Source organism: Homo sapiens, chromosome 10 (assembly GCF_000001405.40).
Source record: "Homo sapiens chromosome 10, GRCh38.p14 Primary Assembly".
NCBI classification, from domain to species: Eukaryota; Metazoa; Chordata; class Mammalia; order Primates; family Hominidae; genus Homo; species Homo sapiens.
In genome coordinates this window covers 101,306,430-101,323,770 of record NC_000010.11, presented here as the reverse complement: position 1 = coordinate 101,323,770, position 17,341 = coordinate 101,306,430, and the positions used below count along the sequence as shown (strand labels likewise).

General features: G+C 49.7%; 1 pseudogene, besides 3 other annotated features; it reads right to left on the bottom strand.

Annotated features, from left to right (window-relative positions):
* Positions 2,162 to 2,662: an enhancer, noted in NCBI's record as "H3K4me1 hESC enhancer chr10:103080866-103081366 (GRCh37/hg19 assembly coordinates)". NCBI's record gives its function as "activates a minimal SCP1, AML or CMV promoter by ChIP-STARR-seq in primed H9 embryonic stem cells {active_cell/tissue: H9 hESC(primed)}" and the evidence as "EXISTENCE:reporter gene assay evidence [ECO:0000049][PMID:30033119]".
* Positions 12,595 to 13,123: an enhancer, noted in NCBI's record as "H3K4me1 hESC enhancer chr10:103070405-103070933 (GRCh37/hg19 assembly coordinates)". NCBI's record gives its function as "activates a minimal SCP1, AML or CMV promoter by ChIP-STARR-seq in naive H9 embryonic stem cells {active_cell/tissue: H9 hESC(naive)}" and the evidence as "EXISTENCE:reporter gene assay evidence [ECO:0000049][PMID:30033119]".
* Positions 13,124 to 13,653: an enhancer, noted in NCBI's record as "H3K4me1 hESC enhancer chr10:103069875-103070404 (GRCh37/hg19 assembly coordinates)". NCBI's record gives its function as "activates a minimal SCP1, AML or CMV promoter by ChIP-STARR-seq in naive H9 embryonic stem cells {active_cell/tissue: H9 hESC(naive)}" and the evidence as "EXISTENCE:reporter gene assay evidence [ECO:0000049][PMID:30033119]".
* On the bottom strand, positions 16,053 to 16,242 carry RNU2-43P (RNA, U2 small nuclear 43, pseudogene; annotated as a pseudogene).

Below are 17,341 nucleotides of genomic sequence, written 5' to 3'. Positions count from 1 at the left end.
CTGAGAGATGGTAGTGATGACATGATCACTACCTGGCTGAGTAGAGGGAGAAAGAGGGGCCAGAGGGGGCAAGAGGGCTCATGGAGAGATCAGTCAGGAGGGTACTTAGGTATCTAGGCAACAGATGGCAATGACTTTGGACTGGGATGGGGGCAGGGTGCTGATGGGTGGAGAGGAAAGAATGGAAGAGAAGAACATTTTCAAGTGGCGTTGAAAGGGCTTGCAGATGGCCGGTTGGGTCATGCAATTGCTGAGGGTGGGGGAGTAGCCATGGAGAACTCCTAGGTTTATGAAACTTGCTCCTTGTGTCTGTCTGCTCCTTGTTCACTTTTATAAATGGGCTTCTTTCTTGTTCACTGGAGAGTTTTGTTCTGATAGTCTTCAGAGGTGGCTGGGTTTCTACTTCCAGAGGATGGAAGAGACTGTCAGGGGCCCTGCAGTAACTGGGATGCACCCAGAGGGTCATTTCCCCAACCAACCCCTGGCCACTTAGGCACTCACATTCATCCTCCCAAACTCACCCAAACCCACAGACTTCCAAACATTCCCTCCAGACTACTTCAACCTACCGTTATTCATCCTCACCTCCCCAAAGCCCTCTGTGCCCCTCCCTTACCCTCTCTCCTCCTGACCCCCGCCCAGCCCCTACCTCCCTCTGCCTCCACTTCACCCTATTAAGAAACAACAACCCCACAGAAACCCCTGCCCCCGGCTGCTACTCCCTGAGCCCCGCCTGCCCTCCCTCCTCCTGCTCCTCTCCCTGACAGATGCCTCAGAGCCCCGGGCCGCAGTTAAGGTGACGAGATGCAGCAATTCTTTATGAACATTTCATTCCTGCTCGCTACACGACGTAAATTAGATGGTGTGTTACATTCGGGCAATAAGAGAGATATGTCACCACGACGCTGGCCCATTGGATGGAGAGGGTAATCCTGCCGTGAATTTCATTACTGCTTTTATATAGACAGAATTAGCTCGGTGACAGCGAGCCTGATTGTCTTTCACTAGGGGTTTGGCGAAGAGCTGAAAGGATTTCACCCTGATGTGCACACTACTGAGTGACCCCGCTCACCAGCGGCTCCGCTGATTGCTTTGCACCTTGCAGACGCCGCAATTGGCTCAGCCTCTCTGCCCCCCTTGACTCCCTCCCTGGTCCCCAGCCCTCCCCGCCTGGCTTTTTCTTGAATCAAGAAGAAAGGAGACCTAATGGAGTCACAAGGTCATGAAGGGAAATGGGGTGGGGTGGGGAGGAAGGTAGCAGAGTGAAAAAACACCACCTAAAGCAATCCCTTTCTGATAGGGGTCTCCAAGACAGAGGCTGTGGCCACTCACTCTTTTGCCCCAGAAAAGGGCAAGAAGGACCCTGTGTTCCTGTGATCAGGGGATGGTCTATTCCTGTGAGTCTCCCTGTAGAGACTCCAGAGCTGTCATGTTCCTGTTCCTTTGCCTCTTGCATGTCTGGGTCCTCTCCTTGTGACAGCTCAGGCTTCCTTTCTCATCTCCTAGTCAGCGAGAGTTGAGAATAAAAAGATCAGGAGGCCGGGCACGGTGGCTCATGCCTGTAATCCCAGCACTTTGGGAGGCTAAGGTGGGCAGATCACCTGGGGTCGGGGGCTCAAGACCAGCCTGACCAACGTGGAGAAACCCCGTCTCTACTAAAAATACAAAATTAGCCTCGCGTGGTGGCACATGCCTGTAATCCCAGCTACTCAGGAGGCTGAGGCAGGAGAATCACTTGAAGCCGGGAGGTAGAGGTAGCGGTGAGCCGAGATCGTGCCATTGCACTCCAGCCTGGGCGACAACAATGAAACTCCTCAAAAAAAAAAAAAAAAAAAAAAAAAAAAAAGCAGGAATAGCAGTCCCTCCTAGCCTGTGCTGTGGACCCAGTGGTTCCAGTGTGAAAGCGGTGGACTCAGGCAGACTCCCTTCACTCCATTCCCCACACACATCTGATGGTGGCACTGCCTCCACCCCAGCCCCATCACACACACACACACACACACACACACACACACACACACACACCCCGCTCTTCAGTGACCTTCCAAATCCTTAATAGACCCCGATGCCTGGCCCCAGCAGCCCGAAAACAAGCCCAGACAAGGGTCTCTCTCCCCTGGGTCAGTTTCTGTGGGGGTGGCTGGTCCTGAGGGGGTCAGGCCCCTCCTGTTCCTTGGCCTCTGCCTCACTGACTCTCGCCTTCTGTCACCTTGTCCTCTCCCTCCCTCACCTCTGCTGACACCTTGGCAAATGCCTTCCGCCAGGCCTTTTGGAGGCAGCCTGGGGCTGGCCAGGGAAGCTGACCATTGCTGGGCCCCTGCTTAAAGCTCTGACCCTTTCTAGAAGCCACCAAGGATGCCCTCTGAGCTTCCATTTCTTGAGGCTTAGGGGCCAAGTATCGAGCAGACAGCATAATCTCCGCAAAGCCCCTTTTGGTCTTTTGGTCAATCCGACACATCTGTCAGGAAAGCTTCTCCTGTGGCCTGGAGCAGCCAGCACTGTGCCTCTGTGATGGGAAGGATTAAGATCACAGTCTCTACTTTCCAGTGGGGGAGGAGGCTCCCTGGACCTCAGCAGAGCTCAGCAGGCCCTCTGAAGGCCTGGCACAGGGTCTCTGCACCCTGACTCTTCGGCCTGGGGGAAAGCACACTGAGTTCCTTCTCCCAGCCCCTCAGTCAGGGCACCCTCAGCTCCAACTGCCTGTCCTGCATGGAGCTCAGGGAGAGGGCGTTTCCTCAGCAGTTGACTCCTGTGGTTATACTGGAGGAATTTTACACTGAAAGCCCTTCTTGATGCTACAGCCACACTCCAACCTTGCCAGTATGATAGCTGCATAATATGGTAGGTCATTACATCTCTCTGAACTTCAGTTTCCTCACCTCCAATATGAGAGTGGTAATTGCTATAGTAGGTGCCATGGTGTCAGGCCGCATTCCCCTTCCATACTGAAGGACGGTCCCCTAAGCTGCCACCCTTGCCTGTCAGCCTTCCTTGGATTTGCCTCTGCTGAAGAGTGCTGCCCTGCCTAAGGTCATGCCCCTTTTCTGGGGCAGCCTGCATCCAGTGACTGGTCACCAGGGGTGTGTGAAGGCCCAGCTGCCTCTCTCCTACTCAGGATGGTTCTGAAGGGCCGTCCAACTTCAGAGCCCCCTGCAGTCAGTCAAGGCCTTTTTTGAGACTGCAGCACAACCCCACTTCTCCATTGCCCAGTCCTGCACTTCTAGCACCTTCCCAGAGCACTCTCCAGTGAAGCTCCTGCACAGTACTTGCCATCTCCAAGTCTGCTTCCAGAACCACACCTGGGGACAATTCCGGCCCTACTTATCAAAAGAGCTACCACGACAATAAAGGTATTTGGTAAAGTACAGTGCCATGAAAAATATAGCTGCTATTTATCATTGTCAGCATCATCATTTTCATCGTCTTCACAGCAGGGCCTACCCAGCTGGTGTGGAGGCTTATCATAGTTTGGCCAGGAAGTTCAACAAGTGAATGCCCAGTATTCTCATTGTACCCTAAGGACAAGGTCCTTTGCATTCTGCCTTTTATCTTCTGATTAGAATGACCTTCCCAAATTGGCCAGACTTGTCCCTTGGGAAGCCTAACATGATCTCAAGGATCTAGGGGTTCAAATTGCTGCAGTTTTGTTACTCACATCTCATTCTCTGCTCCAAGAAAGAATCTGTGAGCTACCGCTCATTGGATTGTCTCCGCTACACTCTCCAAATGCATTCCTTGTTGGCTTCCTACTCTTATTTAAAGTGTATACTTTCCTCTCATAAACCAAAACATACATCCTTTCCAGGGGGCAGACAGAAAGGTCTCAAGTGAGGCCTGAGAGCAGCATCTCCTCCCCTTTGAGCCAAGACTTCCTTCCTTCTGGGCCTTGTTTACAGGTCCCCCAAAGAAAGAAAGCCTAAGATCTCTCCCTCCTAGGCGACAGGGAGGAGCATGGGCAGTGGTCCCCAACTACTGTTACCCTTCTAGTATGCCTACACTGTCTCACTGCTGGACCCACAGGCTTATCAGCATTTTGGAATGCGGTAGCAGGTAGGGACACTGCCAGATGAATCAGATCTCCAACATAGTCCCTATTCCTGAGCCCTGACCCAGAAGTGTACTCTCAGGAGGGCAATGCCCTCTGTCTTTTCCTCTTTTCAGAAGTGTTCCCTTCAAGGCTGCAGAGACTGAGCTGGGAGCTAGGGATATGGGGGATGGCAGTTTCTCCACCCACCCCCTATCCTTGCCTGACGTCACAGCCCTCACTTTCTGACTCTAATTGGTTGCCTTGGAAACAAGTTCCTTAAAGTACATGATGACTTGAGCTGGTGGGAGGGAGAGCCACAGGAGCCAGGCCTGCCATCAAGAGCTTCAGATTCTTTGTCATTCATTCAGCAAGTACTTGCAAGCCTCTGCTATGTTGTAGACCCTGTGCCAGACTCTAGGGATATATCCAGGAGTTGGCAGGGCCCTGTTCTTACAGAGTTCACAATTAACATCTTATACCACCTTCTTGTACACTCACATGTTCATCCCGTGACTAAGTATCTCTGAATTTTCTTCTTGCATTCTGGTTCTCCAAACCTTGAGAGCTCACTGGTTTGGTAGGTGGGGTGCAACTTACATGTTATCCCTTCTACTCATGGGCTTTCCAAGAGTTCAGAACCTTGATCCTGTTAATGCACATCCTTGCTTGGCACTAAACCCCAAGATTTGGGGCTCTTCAAGCTCCCTTGTCACCCCATTGGTTTCTTTTTTTCTTTTTTCTTTCTTTTCCTTTTTTTTTTTTTTTTTTTTGAGACAGGGTCTTCTCACTCTGCTGCCCAAACTGGAGTGCAGTGGCACAATCTCGGCTCACCGCAACCTGCACCTCCTAGGCTCAAGCGATTCTCCTGCCTCAGCCTCCCGAGTAGCTGGGATTACAGGTGCGCACCACCACCTCCCGGCTAATTTTTGTATTTTTAGTAGAGATGGGGTTTCACCATCTTGGCCAGGCTGGTCTCAAACTCCTGACCTCAAATGATCCACCCACCTCGGCCTGCCAAAGTGCTGGGATTACAGGCATGAGCCACTGCACCCAGCCCCTATTGGTTTCTAACTCCAAATTACAGGAAACAGCTCCCAGTGCCAGCCTTCCAAGGATGCTGGATCCTTTCGTTCCCTTTCAAAGCCAAGGAGCAGAAGAATGGTTGGAACTTGAGAATGAGAAAAGAAAGGTGTCCCTGCTGTGTGTCCACTGGAGTTCATGCACGGGCCAGACACACAGCCATGCTTCGACACACCTGTGTCCTGCCATCACATGTGTATTTTGTTGGCTAGTACCAGTATCTGTGACTTCTCTCAAATTGGCCAGTGCAGGGGTGTGAACGTGTGTGTGATTCGACTTATGAGCATGAATGAGCATGTGTTCACAGGAAGGGGAATTTAGGGGGATGTCTCTATGTGTGTTTTTTCCAAATGCTTGGCTTTTTTCAAAATGGCTTAGAGCACTACTGTCATTTATGGGGTTTAAAATGTCAGAACAGGGCCCGCGGGGAGGCAGGGGAGATTAAACTGCAAACAGTGAAGGTTATAGATGACGTTTCTGATAGGCTGACAGGCGGACTCAAATGATGCTACACTTTAACAATCATTTAAACACACACACACACACACACACACACACACAAACACACACACCAGATCATCTTTCCATATTTTAATGGCATATTCTGAAGGCTAAAAACATAAAAGACCATGACTAGAAAACCACAGTTCTGCTTTCAAAATCCAACCAGCAACTCTCTGTGAGGTGTGTGTGTGTGTGTACTCACTCAAGTGCCTCTACCTGTGCAAAATGAACACAAGTGCTTATTTGTCCTTTTGTCTGTCTGAGTTAATTCCACCTACTTTCACACAGTACCCTACATAATTAACAAAGTATATCACATCCAAGTCTACCTCAGCATCATAACAATCTGTTTAAGGTAGGCATGGTGGACATTACTATGCCCATTTTACAGAAATGAGTAAGAGAGGCTCAAAGACGTCTAATGGGTTGCCCAAGACCACCCAGCTAGGAAGTGATAAAGTTGGAGTGTAGAACCGTGGTCTTTTTGTATTTATTCAGAGCTCTTTTCTCCAGGCTGCTGTTCTCAGCGCTGGCTACACATTAGAATCAGCTGGGGAACTTTTAAAAACCATCAGTGCCTGAGCTCCATTCCCAGAGATTCTGATCCAATTATTCTGGAGGTGGCACTTTTGGTATATTTTTAACACTCCCCTCTCCTTAATTCTAACAGTCAGGCTGGTTGAGAACCACTGCTCTGGGGCCTGGAGGCCGCACTTACATCACCTCTACTGTGAATGTAGATTCCAGTCTCTTTCCTCCTCAAAATCTTCCTGCATCACTTCTCAGGAGACTTAACTTCCCAGGAGGATCAGATCCTTTTCCCTCTGCACCCCTCTCCCAACCCCCCACCCTCCTAGACTCTGGAGACTTCAAAGGGTGCTTGCTCGCTCAGGCTGATGAATGCAGGCTCACTGTGGCCATCACCTAAGGGTGGACTTTGTTGTCCCTCCAAGAGTAAGGGAGGAGAACCAGCTCCACTTAGCCCAGTCACCAGGAGAAGGCCAGGGAGGTGAAAAAAGCTGCCTTAGGGACCTAGACTGAGAGGAAGGAAGGAAGGAAGGAAGGAAGCAAGGAAGGAAGGAAGGAAGGAAGGAAGGGAGGGAGGGAGGGAGGGAAGGAAAGAAGGGAGGGAGGGAAGAAAGGAAGGAAGGAAGGAGAGAAGAGAAGAGAAGAGAAAAGGAGAAGAGAAGAGAAAAGGAGAAGAGAGCTGGGCCGTTGGAAGGCTACACTGCTAAAAAGCACGAACGGTGTGCATGTCACTTGGCCCTCTGCAAGAGAGGTGGTGTAGCACACATTTGGTAGTGGCCTGCCTGGGCTTGAAGCCTGGTTTCTGCTTACTAGTTGTATGAGCTAGGGCAAGTACCTATGCCTCAGTTTTATTATGTTCAAAATGGCAATGATAATAATACTTGCCTCATAGGGTCTCAGGAAGACTCAGTGAATTCACGTAAAGCCAGGATAAGTACTGGGTAGGTGTTAACTACTATTATTCTCCATCATTTGATGCTTTTGAACTCTCCCTTCTTGAAACTTTGTCCTCTCTTTACTCCACAACACCCCTCTTTCCTGTTTCTCTTCCTATCATCCTGAACATTCCTTCTCAGTTTTCTTTGCTAGCCTGGGTCCTCTGCCCTCCCTCCAAGCCTTTTTCTTTTCTTTTCTTTTCTTTTTTTTTTTTTTTGAGGGAGGGTCTTGCTCTGTTGTCCAGGCTGGAATGCAGTGGTGAGATCTTCGCTCACTGCAACTTCTGCCTCCCAGGTTCAAGCGATTCTCACACCTCAGCCTCCTCAGTAGCTGGAACTACAGGCATGCAGCACTGTGCCTGACTAATTTTTTTATTTTTATTTTTATTTTTTATTTTTGGTAGACGGGGGTTTCACCATGTTGCCCAGGCTGGTCTCGAACTCCTGGGCCCAAGTGATCTGCCCGCCTTGGCTTCCCAAAGTGTTGGGATTACAGGCGTGAGCCACCGCCTCCTGCCTCCCTCCAAGTCTTTGATTCTCAACCCCAATGCCATGTTAGAATCACCTGAAGGACTTTTACAGCTCACTCCCAGAGATTCAGATTTAGTTGGCCTGGGGAGGGGCCCAGACACTGGTGTTTTTCTTTTTTGTTTTTTCTGAGATGGAGTCTCGCTCTGTCGCCCAGGCTGGAGTGCAGTGGTGCCATCTCGGCTCACTGCAAGCTCTGCCTCCCAGGTTCACGCCATTCTCCTGCCTCAGCCTCCCAAGTAGCTGGGACTATAGGCGCCCGCCACCACAACCAGCTAATTGTTTGTTATTTTTAGTAGAGATGGGGTTTCACCGTGTTAGCCAGGATGGTCTCGATCTCCTGACCTCGTGATCCACCTGCCTCAGCCTCCCAAAGTGCTGAGATTACAGGCGTGAGCCAACCGTGCCCAGCCGACACTGGTGTTTTTCAAGCTCCCCATTTCATCCAAATGTGCTACCAAGGTTGAAAATCACTCTTTTAAATGTACACATTTCCTAACACTCCACTCTTGGGCCTCTTCAAACTTGTCTTTCCCAAGTAAATAACCTCCTTCCCACGGCTTTAATTACCATCTATATGCTAGTAACCCTCAAATCCACATACTCTGACTAAACTCTTTTTTTTTTTTTTTTTTTTTTTTTTTTTTTTTTTGAGACAGAGTCTCACTCTGTCACCCAGGCTGGAGTGCAGTGGCGCGATCTCGGCTCACTGCAACCTCTGCCTCCCTGGTTCAAGCGATTCTCCTGCCTCAGCCTCCCCAGTAGCTGGAACTACAGGCATGCACCACCACACTCGGCTAATTTTTTTTTGTATTTTTAGTAGAGACAGAGTTTCACTATGTTGGCCAGGCTAGTCTTGAACTCCTGACTTCAAGTGATCCACTCGCCTTGGCCTCCCACAGTGCTGGGATTACAGGCATGAGCCACTGCACCCAGCCCAAAACTCTTTTGAATGCCACACATGTATTTCCAACTCCCTACCAGACTCCAGATATATGGAGATAAAGTTCTTCAATTCTCTTAATCTCCTGGATATCTTTATTGAGACATACCCCAGACTCTCAAAGTATGTGTCTCAATCAGATCTTAGTATTTTTGAACTCTCCTCAAAGCTATTCCATCACTTCTATTCTCCATCTCTGTCATCATCTCACCATTCACCCAAGGCAAGAACCTGGTTGCCATCTAGGAATCTTCCTCTCAGTCACCTCCCACATCCAATCAAGCACAAAATCCTGTCCATTCTTTGCCATGACTGGTGGCTCACGCCTGTAATCCCAGCACTTTGGGAGGCTGAAGTGGGTGGATCAGGAGGTCAGGAGATCGAGACCATCCTGGCTAACACAGTGAAACCCTGTGTCTACTAAAAATACAAAAAATTAGCCGGGTGTGGTGGTGGGCACCTGTAGTCCCAGCTACTCGGGAGGCTGAGGCAGGAGAATGGCATGAGCCTGGGAGGCAGAGCTTGCAGTGAGCAGAGATCGCGCCACTGCACTCCAGCCTGGATGATACAGCAAGACTCCATCTCAAAAAAAAAAAAAAAAAAAAAATCCCGTCCATTCTTTCAGAGGCCCTCTCTAGTCTGTCACTCCTCAGTGTCCCCACCACCACTGCCATAACTCGGGTCCTCCATGTCTCTTGCCCGCACAGTTGTAAGAACCTCCTCCCTCGGCAGGGCATGGTGGCTCATGCCTGTAATCCCAACACTTTGGGAGGCTGAGGGGGGTGGATCACCTGAGGTCAGGAGTTTGAGACCAGCCTGGCCAACATGGTGAAATCCCGTCTCTACTAAAAATACAAAAATTAGCCGGGTGTAGTGGCGCATGCCTGTCATCCCAGCTACTCAGGAGGCTGAGGCAGGAGAATCGCTTGAACTTAGGAGGCAGAGGTTGCAGTGAGCCAAGATCGTGCCACTGCACTCCAGCCTGGGCCAAAGAGCGAGACTCTGTCTCAAAAAAAAAAAAAGGCCAGGCATGGTGGCTTATGCCTGTAATCCCAGCACTCTGGGAGGCTGAGGCAGGTAGACCACCTGAGGTCAGGAGTTCGAGAGCAGCCTGGCCAACATGGTGAAACCCTGTTTCTACTAAAAATACAAAAAATTAGCCAGGTGTGGTGGTGGACGCCTGTAATTCCAGCTACTCGGGAGGCTGAGGGAGGAGAATATCTTAAACCCAGGAGGTGGAGGTTGCAGTGAGCTGAGATTGTACCATTGCACTCCAGCCTGGGGGTTGGGGGGAGCCTCCTCCCTGGTCTCCTGGTCTCCAATGTTTCCGGTTGCACCCTCCCCCCATTCTCTGTATCATCCTCAGAGTTATTTTTCTGAAATGCAAATCACTCCATGTGAAAGCCCGTCAGTGGGCCCCTGCTCACAGGGTGAGAGCCTAACTCCTTGGCACAGCCCTTTACTCTCTTTCTCCTTCTGCTGGCCTCTCTCCCAAAGTGCCCTCCCTATGCCCTCCCCTGTACTTCAGTGGAGTTCTCCAGATGTGCCAGGCTGTTCCACACCTTAAGGCTTTTGGATGTGCCATTCCCCCTGCTTGAATGCCTTTCCTTCTCTTTGCCCTCCCATTTTGCCTATATTTACGTTAGCTGGAGCACCATCTCCTCTATGAAGTGTCACCTGGCTCTTCAGACTGAACTTACCACTCTTTTTCTGCCCTGCTGCACCCTGCAGTTATCTCTATATGTGTCTCTCACTCTGTGCTTCCCTTCCATGTTCTCATGCCTGTCCCCCAATACTGGGCAATATCACCTGGAAGCCATGGACCCTGTCTGTGAGCAGTGGAGTTAGGCATAGGGAGGAGACCAGACTCCGCATTCTGTCATGAGTTTACAGGTGATTCAGTTCCCTTAGCTACAGCACTTGGTTAATAATGTGTTGCTTGGCTGGGCACGGTGGCTCACGCCTGTAATCCCAGCAGTTTTGGGGGCCCAGGTGGGTGGATCACCTGAGGTCAGGAGTTCGAGACCAGCCTGGCCAACATGGTGAAACATGGTCTCTACCAAAAATACAAAAATTATCTGGGCACGGTGGCACAAACCTGTAGTCCCAGCTACTCGGGAAGCTGAGGCAGGAGAATCACTTGAACCTGGGAGGCGGAGATTGCAGTGAGCCGAGATTGTACCACTGTACTCCAGGCTGGGTGGCAAAGCGAGAATCCATCTGAAAAAAAAAAAAAAAAGTGTTGGCTTATGGCTCTGGATTTTGAAGGGTAGCTTCTTTCCTCTTGGAGCCAGGGGAGAGAGGCTAAGTATTAAGGAAGAGACCCAAACCTGCCACTAGCCAGGCACTCTACCCCTAGCTTCCTCCCTGAGTCTGCCTCAGTGATACTGGCTCTCTAGGTCCCAGAGCTGGGAGCTCTCACTGCCATACTCCCGAGGCCCCTCCTGGCTCAGCTGAGGTGAGTAGAATCTTCTTTCCCCTCTTTCACATGAAATCAGCTTGGAATGGCTCCAAAGGAGCCTTCAGAGAGAAACCAAGAGAAACTAAAAGCAAGCAAGCAAACTGACCCCCAAACACTTAGAGCTACAGAAATGGACAGAATGAGGATGTCTGATTCTAATTTGTCTCCCCTGCCTAAGAGAGCAGATTCAAGGGTCACCTTCTCTCCTCAACCAGGAAAGGGGCTGGGCAGGAGTCCTAGCTCCAACCGCAGAAAGGAGGGCAACTGAAAAGGTGCAGTTCTTATAGCTAGGGAAATTGAAGCAAGTCCTCATCCTCCACAGGAGTGAAAAGACAAGGCCATTAATGGACACTTGCCTAGAAAAAGTCAAGGGCCCAGACAATAACCCACAGAGAGGGTGTGGTCTACAGGACAGCCAGGACAGTGTTGGCCTTACTCATGGCTGGATACACAGTGACCCTTGAGAATATTCAAGAGCTCTTGTCACATATCAACACTGTGCCAAGCACTAGATGAGCTTGAGTAACCCTCACGACAACCCTATGAAGTAGGGACTATTATTATTCCTGTTACAGATGGGGAAACTGAGTCTCAGAGAAGCTGTGACTTTTCCAAGACCACAAAGTTAATAAGCGTTAAGCCAGGATTCAAACTCAGATCATCTGTCTCCAAACCCCAGGCTCCTAACCTCCATGGTGCCCTGTGTCAAAGACATAGCAGATGATTATTCAATAATTGCTGATAGTAATAATTGCTAGCATTTATTGAACATTTAACAATGTGCTGAGCACAGTGTGAAGCACTTCACATACATTATTTTATTCAGTAGGTATATTATTATGCCCGTTTTATAGATGAGGACACTGAGGCTTAGGGAAGATAAGAGCACTGTCCATGATCCCAACGCTAGTTTAAAAGAACTGGCATACAAACTCAGGGGGGATAGACACATGAGTGACCAGAGGCACAGAAAATTCCCCCGCCAGAACCACTACCAACCTGGAGAATGTCCATGAAGGAAAGAGAAGCCCTTTCCAGGAGCTCCGACAAAGTGGCTGACACCTTGATCAAGGATCTGCGGGCCTTTATCACATGTCCTGGCAAAGGCAGCTACAGCCTGGACTGCCGTCAGGCTCAGGACCGAGCCGTACTCAGAAGTGTCTCTAGGAGGCTGGGCCAGTTTCCTCTCTTTTCTGCAGGCGTCTCCAGAGCACCCTCTCACCAGCTGTATCTACTCACAATCGTCTGGCATTTGGAATCTGGTTGAGTTTGGGTCCCTCAATACCCAGAAAAATCAGAGCCTCCAGGACCCGCCCCTAAGCAGGAATTTTTCAGATCTCCCTTCTGGGTCCTTTGGTCCCTAAGTCTCTGGCTTTGGCATTCCTGGTGGGAATCCTTGCAGAGAGCCATCCTGGTACCTAAGGAAAGAGGGAGAGAAAAGCGAAGGAGCTGAGTCCGCTCCAAGCTCCTCACCCTCTCGGAAAGCCTAGCTGGCCACCCCACCCCCACTCCGCAGTTTCTCACCTTCAGGCAAAGGCAGATGATGGCAGAGCTGGGGAGCAGAACTTAACTGAGCCATGGGGCACAGCAAATCCCTGCCATTAGTATTTAGGGAATGTGAGTCCCAGAGGATGAGGGGGAGAAAGAGGCAGTGGGAGAGGAAGGCGGAGGTGCTCAGAGACTCAGAGATCACCAGGAGGGGTTGCAGAGAGACAGAAGAGGAGGGTGTGAAGGAGGAAAAGAAAGACTGAAGTGGGTGGGAGAGAGGCAGAGAAAGGGGGGAGGGAAGAGAGAGAGAGAAAGAGCCAGTTGCTTTATTCATGGCTGGTGATATTATAGACTGAGTGAAAATCACATTATCGTAATGGGAAAGTTAGAGTTGCTGAGATGATGCCCTGAAGCCTCTGCGCTGATTGGGGTGTGATTGCTATCTGTATTTATATGTAGAAAGCAAAGTTCACTGCCAGTTCAAGATGGTGGCGGCTGCTTTATGCAACATAATTCTTCAGTAGGGAGACGCCCCGAGCAAGCTGAGCACACCGGGCGGGGAGTGGGAACGGGAGCCAGATCGGGAGCCAGCGATGGAGCAGGCGACAGAGCAGGCGATAGAGCCTGGGGTGGAGCCGAGCGGGGCTCAGCTGCGGAGGACGGAGGCCAGGAACCAGAGAGGGAGCCGGGGCAGCGCCTGGGGCCCGAGCCCAGCCCGAGGCCTGACGCGGGTCGGGCAGCGGGGGGCTGGAGAGCTTGGGGACTTAGGGGTCAGAAGGAGCCCCTCCCACCATCTGCCCCCTCTCAGGCCCGCCCAGAGTTAGACTCCCCGGAAGGGAAAAGAAGAGAAGCTGGTGCCCCAAATGCAGGGCTGGGCTAGACCTTTCTAAACCTTGAGCAGATTGACTCCAACCTCACCCGCACGGTCTAATTCAGTGCTAAATCGTACAGTGAATGCCAGGAAGGTTTCATCCTTTCCCATGCGGACAGCTTGAAATTTTTTTTTCCTTTTTTTTTTTTTTTTTTTAATTGAGATGGAGTTTCGCTCTTTTTGCCCAGGATGGAATGCAATAGATCTCAGCTCACTGCAACCTCCGCCTCCTGGGTTCAAGTGATTCTCCTGCCTCAGCCTCCTGATTAGCTGAGATTAAAGGCGCACGCCACCACACCCGGCTAATTTTGTATTTTTAGTAGAGACAGATCTCCTGACCTCAGGTGATCCGCCTGCCTCAGCCTCCCAAAGTGTTGGGATTACAGGCGTGAGCCACCGCGCCCAGCCAAATGTCTTGATTTTTTTCTTTAATTTTTCATTTCTTTTTCGGAGATCCCTGCTGTGCTGGTGCACCACTTGTGGTTTGCTTGGTCTGTTGAGCAGCCTAGTACTGGGATGAAAAATCCCTTTTGATTGATTGGTAAATGGGTGTGATCTCTGACGTCCTCAGCACAGAGCCTGGGAGGCTGGACAGGGTAGCCTAGACTCCAAGCCCTGCCTTTTCCTAGCCACACTCAAGAAGGGAGAAAAGGGCTGTCAGCCCAGCCTGCACAATCTAATTGAGCTCAGACCATCCCTTACTTGAGGCCTGTACCCCTCAGGACTTTCTTAGGAAACGGGGGCAGAGCTGGGCCAGGCTGTCACCCCACTTCCCGCCAAGAAGTGCCAGATAAAATACAGGACACCTGATTAAATTTGAATTTCAGACAGACAATAAATTTTTAGTATAAGTATATCCCATGCACTATTTGGGATATACTTAAGTATTTGTTGTTTGTCTGAAATTCAAATTTAATTGGGCATCCTGTATTTTTATTTGCTAAATCTGGTAACCCTACCCTACCCCCCACCTTGCCCATTGACCTCAGGTTTTGTATTGATTGAGGAAGGGAGTGCCCTTGAGTGGAAACAGCCAGATTCCCCAGTTAATAGCTGTGTTGTTCTGGACTGGTTTTTAACCTCTTAGATTCTCAATCTCCTTATCTGAGCAATAGGAGATAATATCACTTACCTCACCGGATGGTTATAAACATTTAATGAAATAAAGTAAGTAAAAGGCTCAGTTCACTGTCTGACACAAAATAAATGACCAAAAAAACTCAAAAAAAAAAAAAAACCAAAATCTAACACTCAGTAAACAGCAGCTATAAAAGATCAGCTCCCTTACAAAGTTCACCCTTTCTTACATTCCCATTGCCATCCTAAGCTTCTTAGAAGCCAAATAAAAGGCTTATATCAAGATTCTTGTCTTAGAAGCTGCTGCCTACATGGGGGCATCCCAGGGATAGATATGGTCTTAGTATGGGTCCCCTGTGGTAGAGCCTGACCGTATAAGCTCCACTGAGAGTTCTGGAAAGCTGATTGCAAGGATGAAGCAGATACTAAGAGCCAGCCCTGTCCCCAGCCTCAAACCAAGCCCCACATGTTTCCAGCTACTCTTCCAAGCTTCCAAAACAAAATAGAATTGATCCTCCTTCGGGCCTCCAAACTTCCTTTTCTCCCAGGGAGATGGGGGATGGGGCAGTTTGGTGATATGACACTGGGCAGGAAGGAGGGCTCTGCCTACCTGAGAGGCTACACAATGGACTGAGCAAGCAGTCTACCCAATGCCCATCCCAGCAGCATGTCAGGCCAAATCCCTTTCCATCCTCTGGCAGAGGCCCATGTCCAGGACACACCAGTTGGAAACAAGTGTGTCCCTCAGGGTCTCTGGGCTTATTCTCCTTCTAGCTCTCATATCTCAGCCTCAGCTCAAACCCACTTGACGAAGGCAAGAGGCAGTGTGCAAAATAGAGGTTTTGGAGTCCCACAGAGGCAACCTGGAGTCTAGTATCACTGTATGATCTTGGACCCCTCTCTCGTAGAAGGTTGGGACTTGTTTGCTTCTCTTATACAGATGTCTTTGACTCAAGAAAAAAAGTGGCTTCCAGTACCTTTAGTCCCAGAGAAGCTGGTGGCTGGACCCCAGCCATTATCTCTGAGGGAAGCTAATGACTCAGAAGCCAACTGATGGGCAAGTAGGGGCCTATCTCCTTTTCTTCAAGAGATCACAGAGTCAAGGCTTTAGTGCTAGGCAGATTATATAAGTGACGCAAGTAGTGAAATGCAGTAGAGTGGCAGGGTCTATGGCTGCACCTGAGAAGCACATGTTTTCCTACAGGTATTCAATTTCATGTTTGTTTTAAACACTGTGCTCATCAAACCAAACACCCAAGTGCTCTATGGGCAACCCCTAGTTTCTTGTTCTTCACACAGGTATCCTCAGCCACATGGTCACCAAGCATTATCACAGAGTAGAGAGATACCACATGTGCAGATACACTGACCTATGAGGATGTGCAGAGCAAATACCATACTCCAAATGAGTAGAGCATCTGTAAGGAAAGCACGAGGACACTCACAAGGGAGTGGCCCATCTCCAGGCAGCCTGCCTTCCTGTCCACCTCCTGCCAGCCTCCCACCTCTTGCCTCCTCTTCCTTGTTTGCTCACTGGCACCCAAGTCTGCTACTCACACCATCTCATCCCCTCACCCCTCTCTCTGGGAGTGGAACTCTCTCTTGCACCCTGGTGATGCACCATTCCTGGAGGTCCTGCAATACCAGGTTGATGCATAGGAGTGGATGAAGCAAGCTCCTTTTCCATCCCCCTGCTCAAAAAACCCATTTAATATATTGTCCTCAGATAGAGGATGTATCAGATGTTAAGCTGGTAAAAACATACTACATTTGATCTTAGCCAAAAGACCGAGAGGTGATAGGAGTGGAACTCTATAGAACCCAAAGGGTGTGAATGGAAATGGTGGGGGTGGGGGTGCTCTGCACAGCTGACCCCTGTAGTAGCAGCATCACACATGCATCTGGGGACCTCAGGACATACCCTCCTGCTCTTTTGATCCTCACAACAAGCCTGTACTGGGGCTTCAGGGGAAAATTGATTCCCCTTTCCCCTCTTTAAGGCACACCTTTCACTCTGGAGCTCTGGAGTGGAACTTAGCTCCTCTACTCAGTCACCAGCTACAAATTCAGAAATTCTACAAAAGCTCCTAAAATCTCAGGGTTCTAGAAATGGTCACTGAAAGTTCATCTCTGCCATTCTCCTGCCTCCAGGCAAGGGTGGTCCTCTTCATGGAGACACGTGGCACGGAGAGTCTACACACTCCCTTGGCCCTACTTAGCCTTGATATCAGGAAGTTGAACTCTAGTCCCAGTGATTTAATCCATGTTTGTTAATAACTCCACCAGGATATGTGAAGCTCCTCTCCCAAGGAATACCTAGGCATCCGCAAGACCTCCTGGGTTCCTCCCCGGGGGACCATGCCATAAATCAGAAGCCCCAGGTACTCAGGCCATTGACCCCAGAAGGATCCCAAGAGGGGATGTAGAGTCTGGGGTTTTTCCATGCTCTTTCTGGTACACTTCCTCTTTGGCCATCAGTGCTAGAACCTAAGCAACCTCTTCCTAGGCTTAGTCATTTCAGCAAAACAGAAGTAGATCAATCAGTTGCAATAAATAAAAGAAAATAAATTGAAATCCAAGACTCTTGCAAAGATCCTGATAACTGATTTCCGAATGATTCACTGGAGTTTTCTGTGCTCCTGTCCCTTTCCTTTTCATGATTATAAATAATGTCGATCATCACCAGCATCTTTTTGAAGCTGGGATGTCACCACGTTAGAGAATGAGTACCCAATCACATGGGGGTGGGCCAGGAGGCAGTAGAGGGCCCAACAAATAAGGTTTTGTCATCTTAGAGGTGAGGAGAAAGTCCAAGGACCTCTGTCTTGTCTTGGAGATGTGAGTCTTTGAGGATGAAAGTGAACTATCTCCAAGGGCAAGAGGTTTGTCCGGCAGCTCA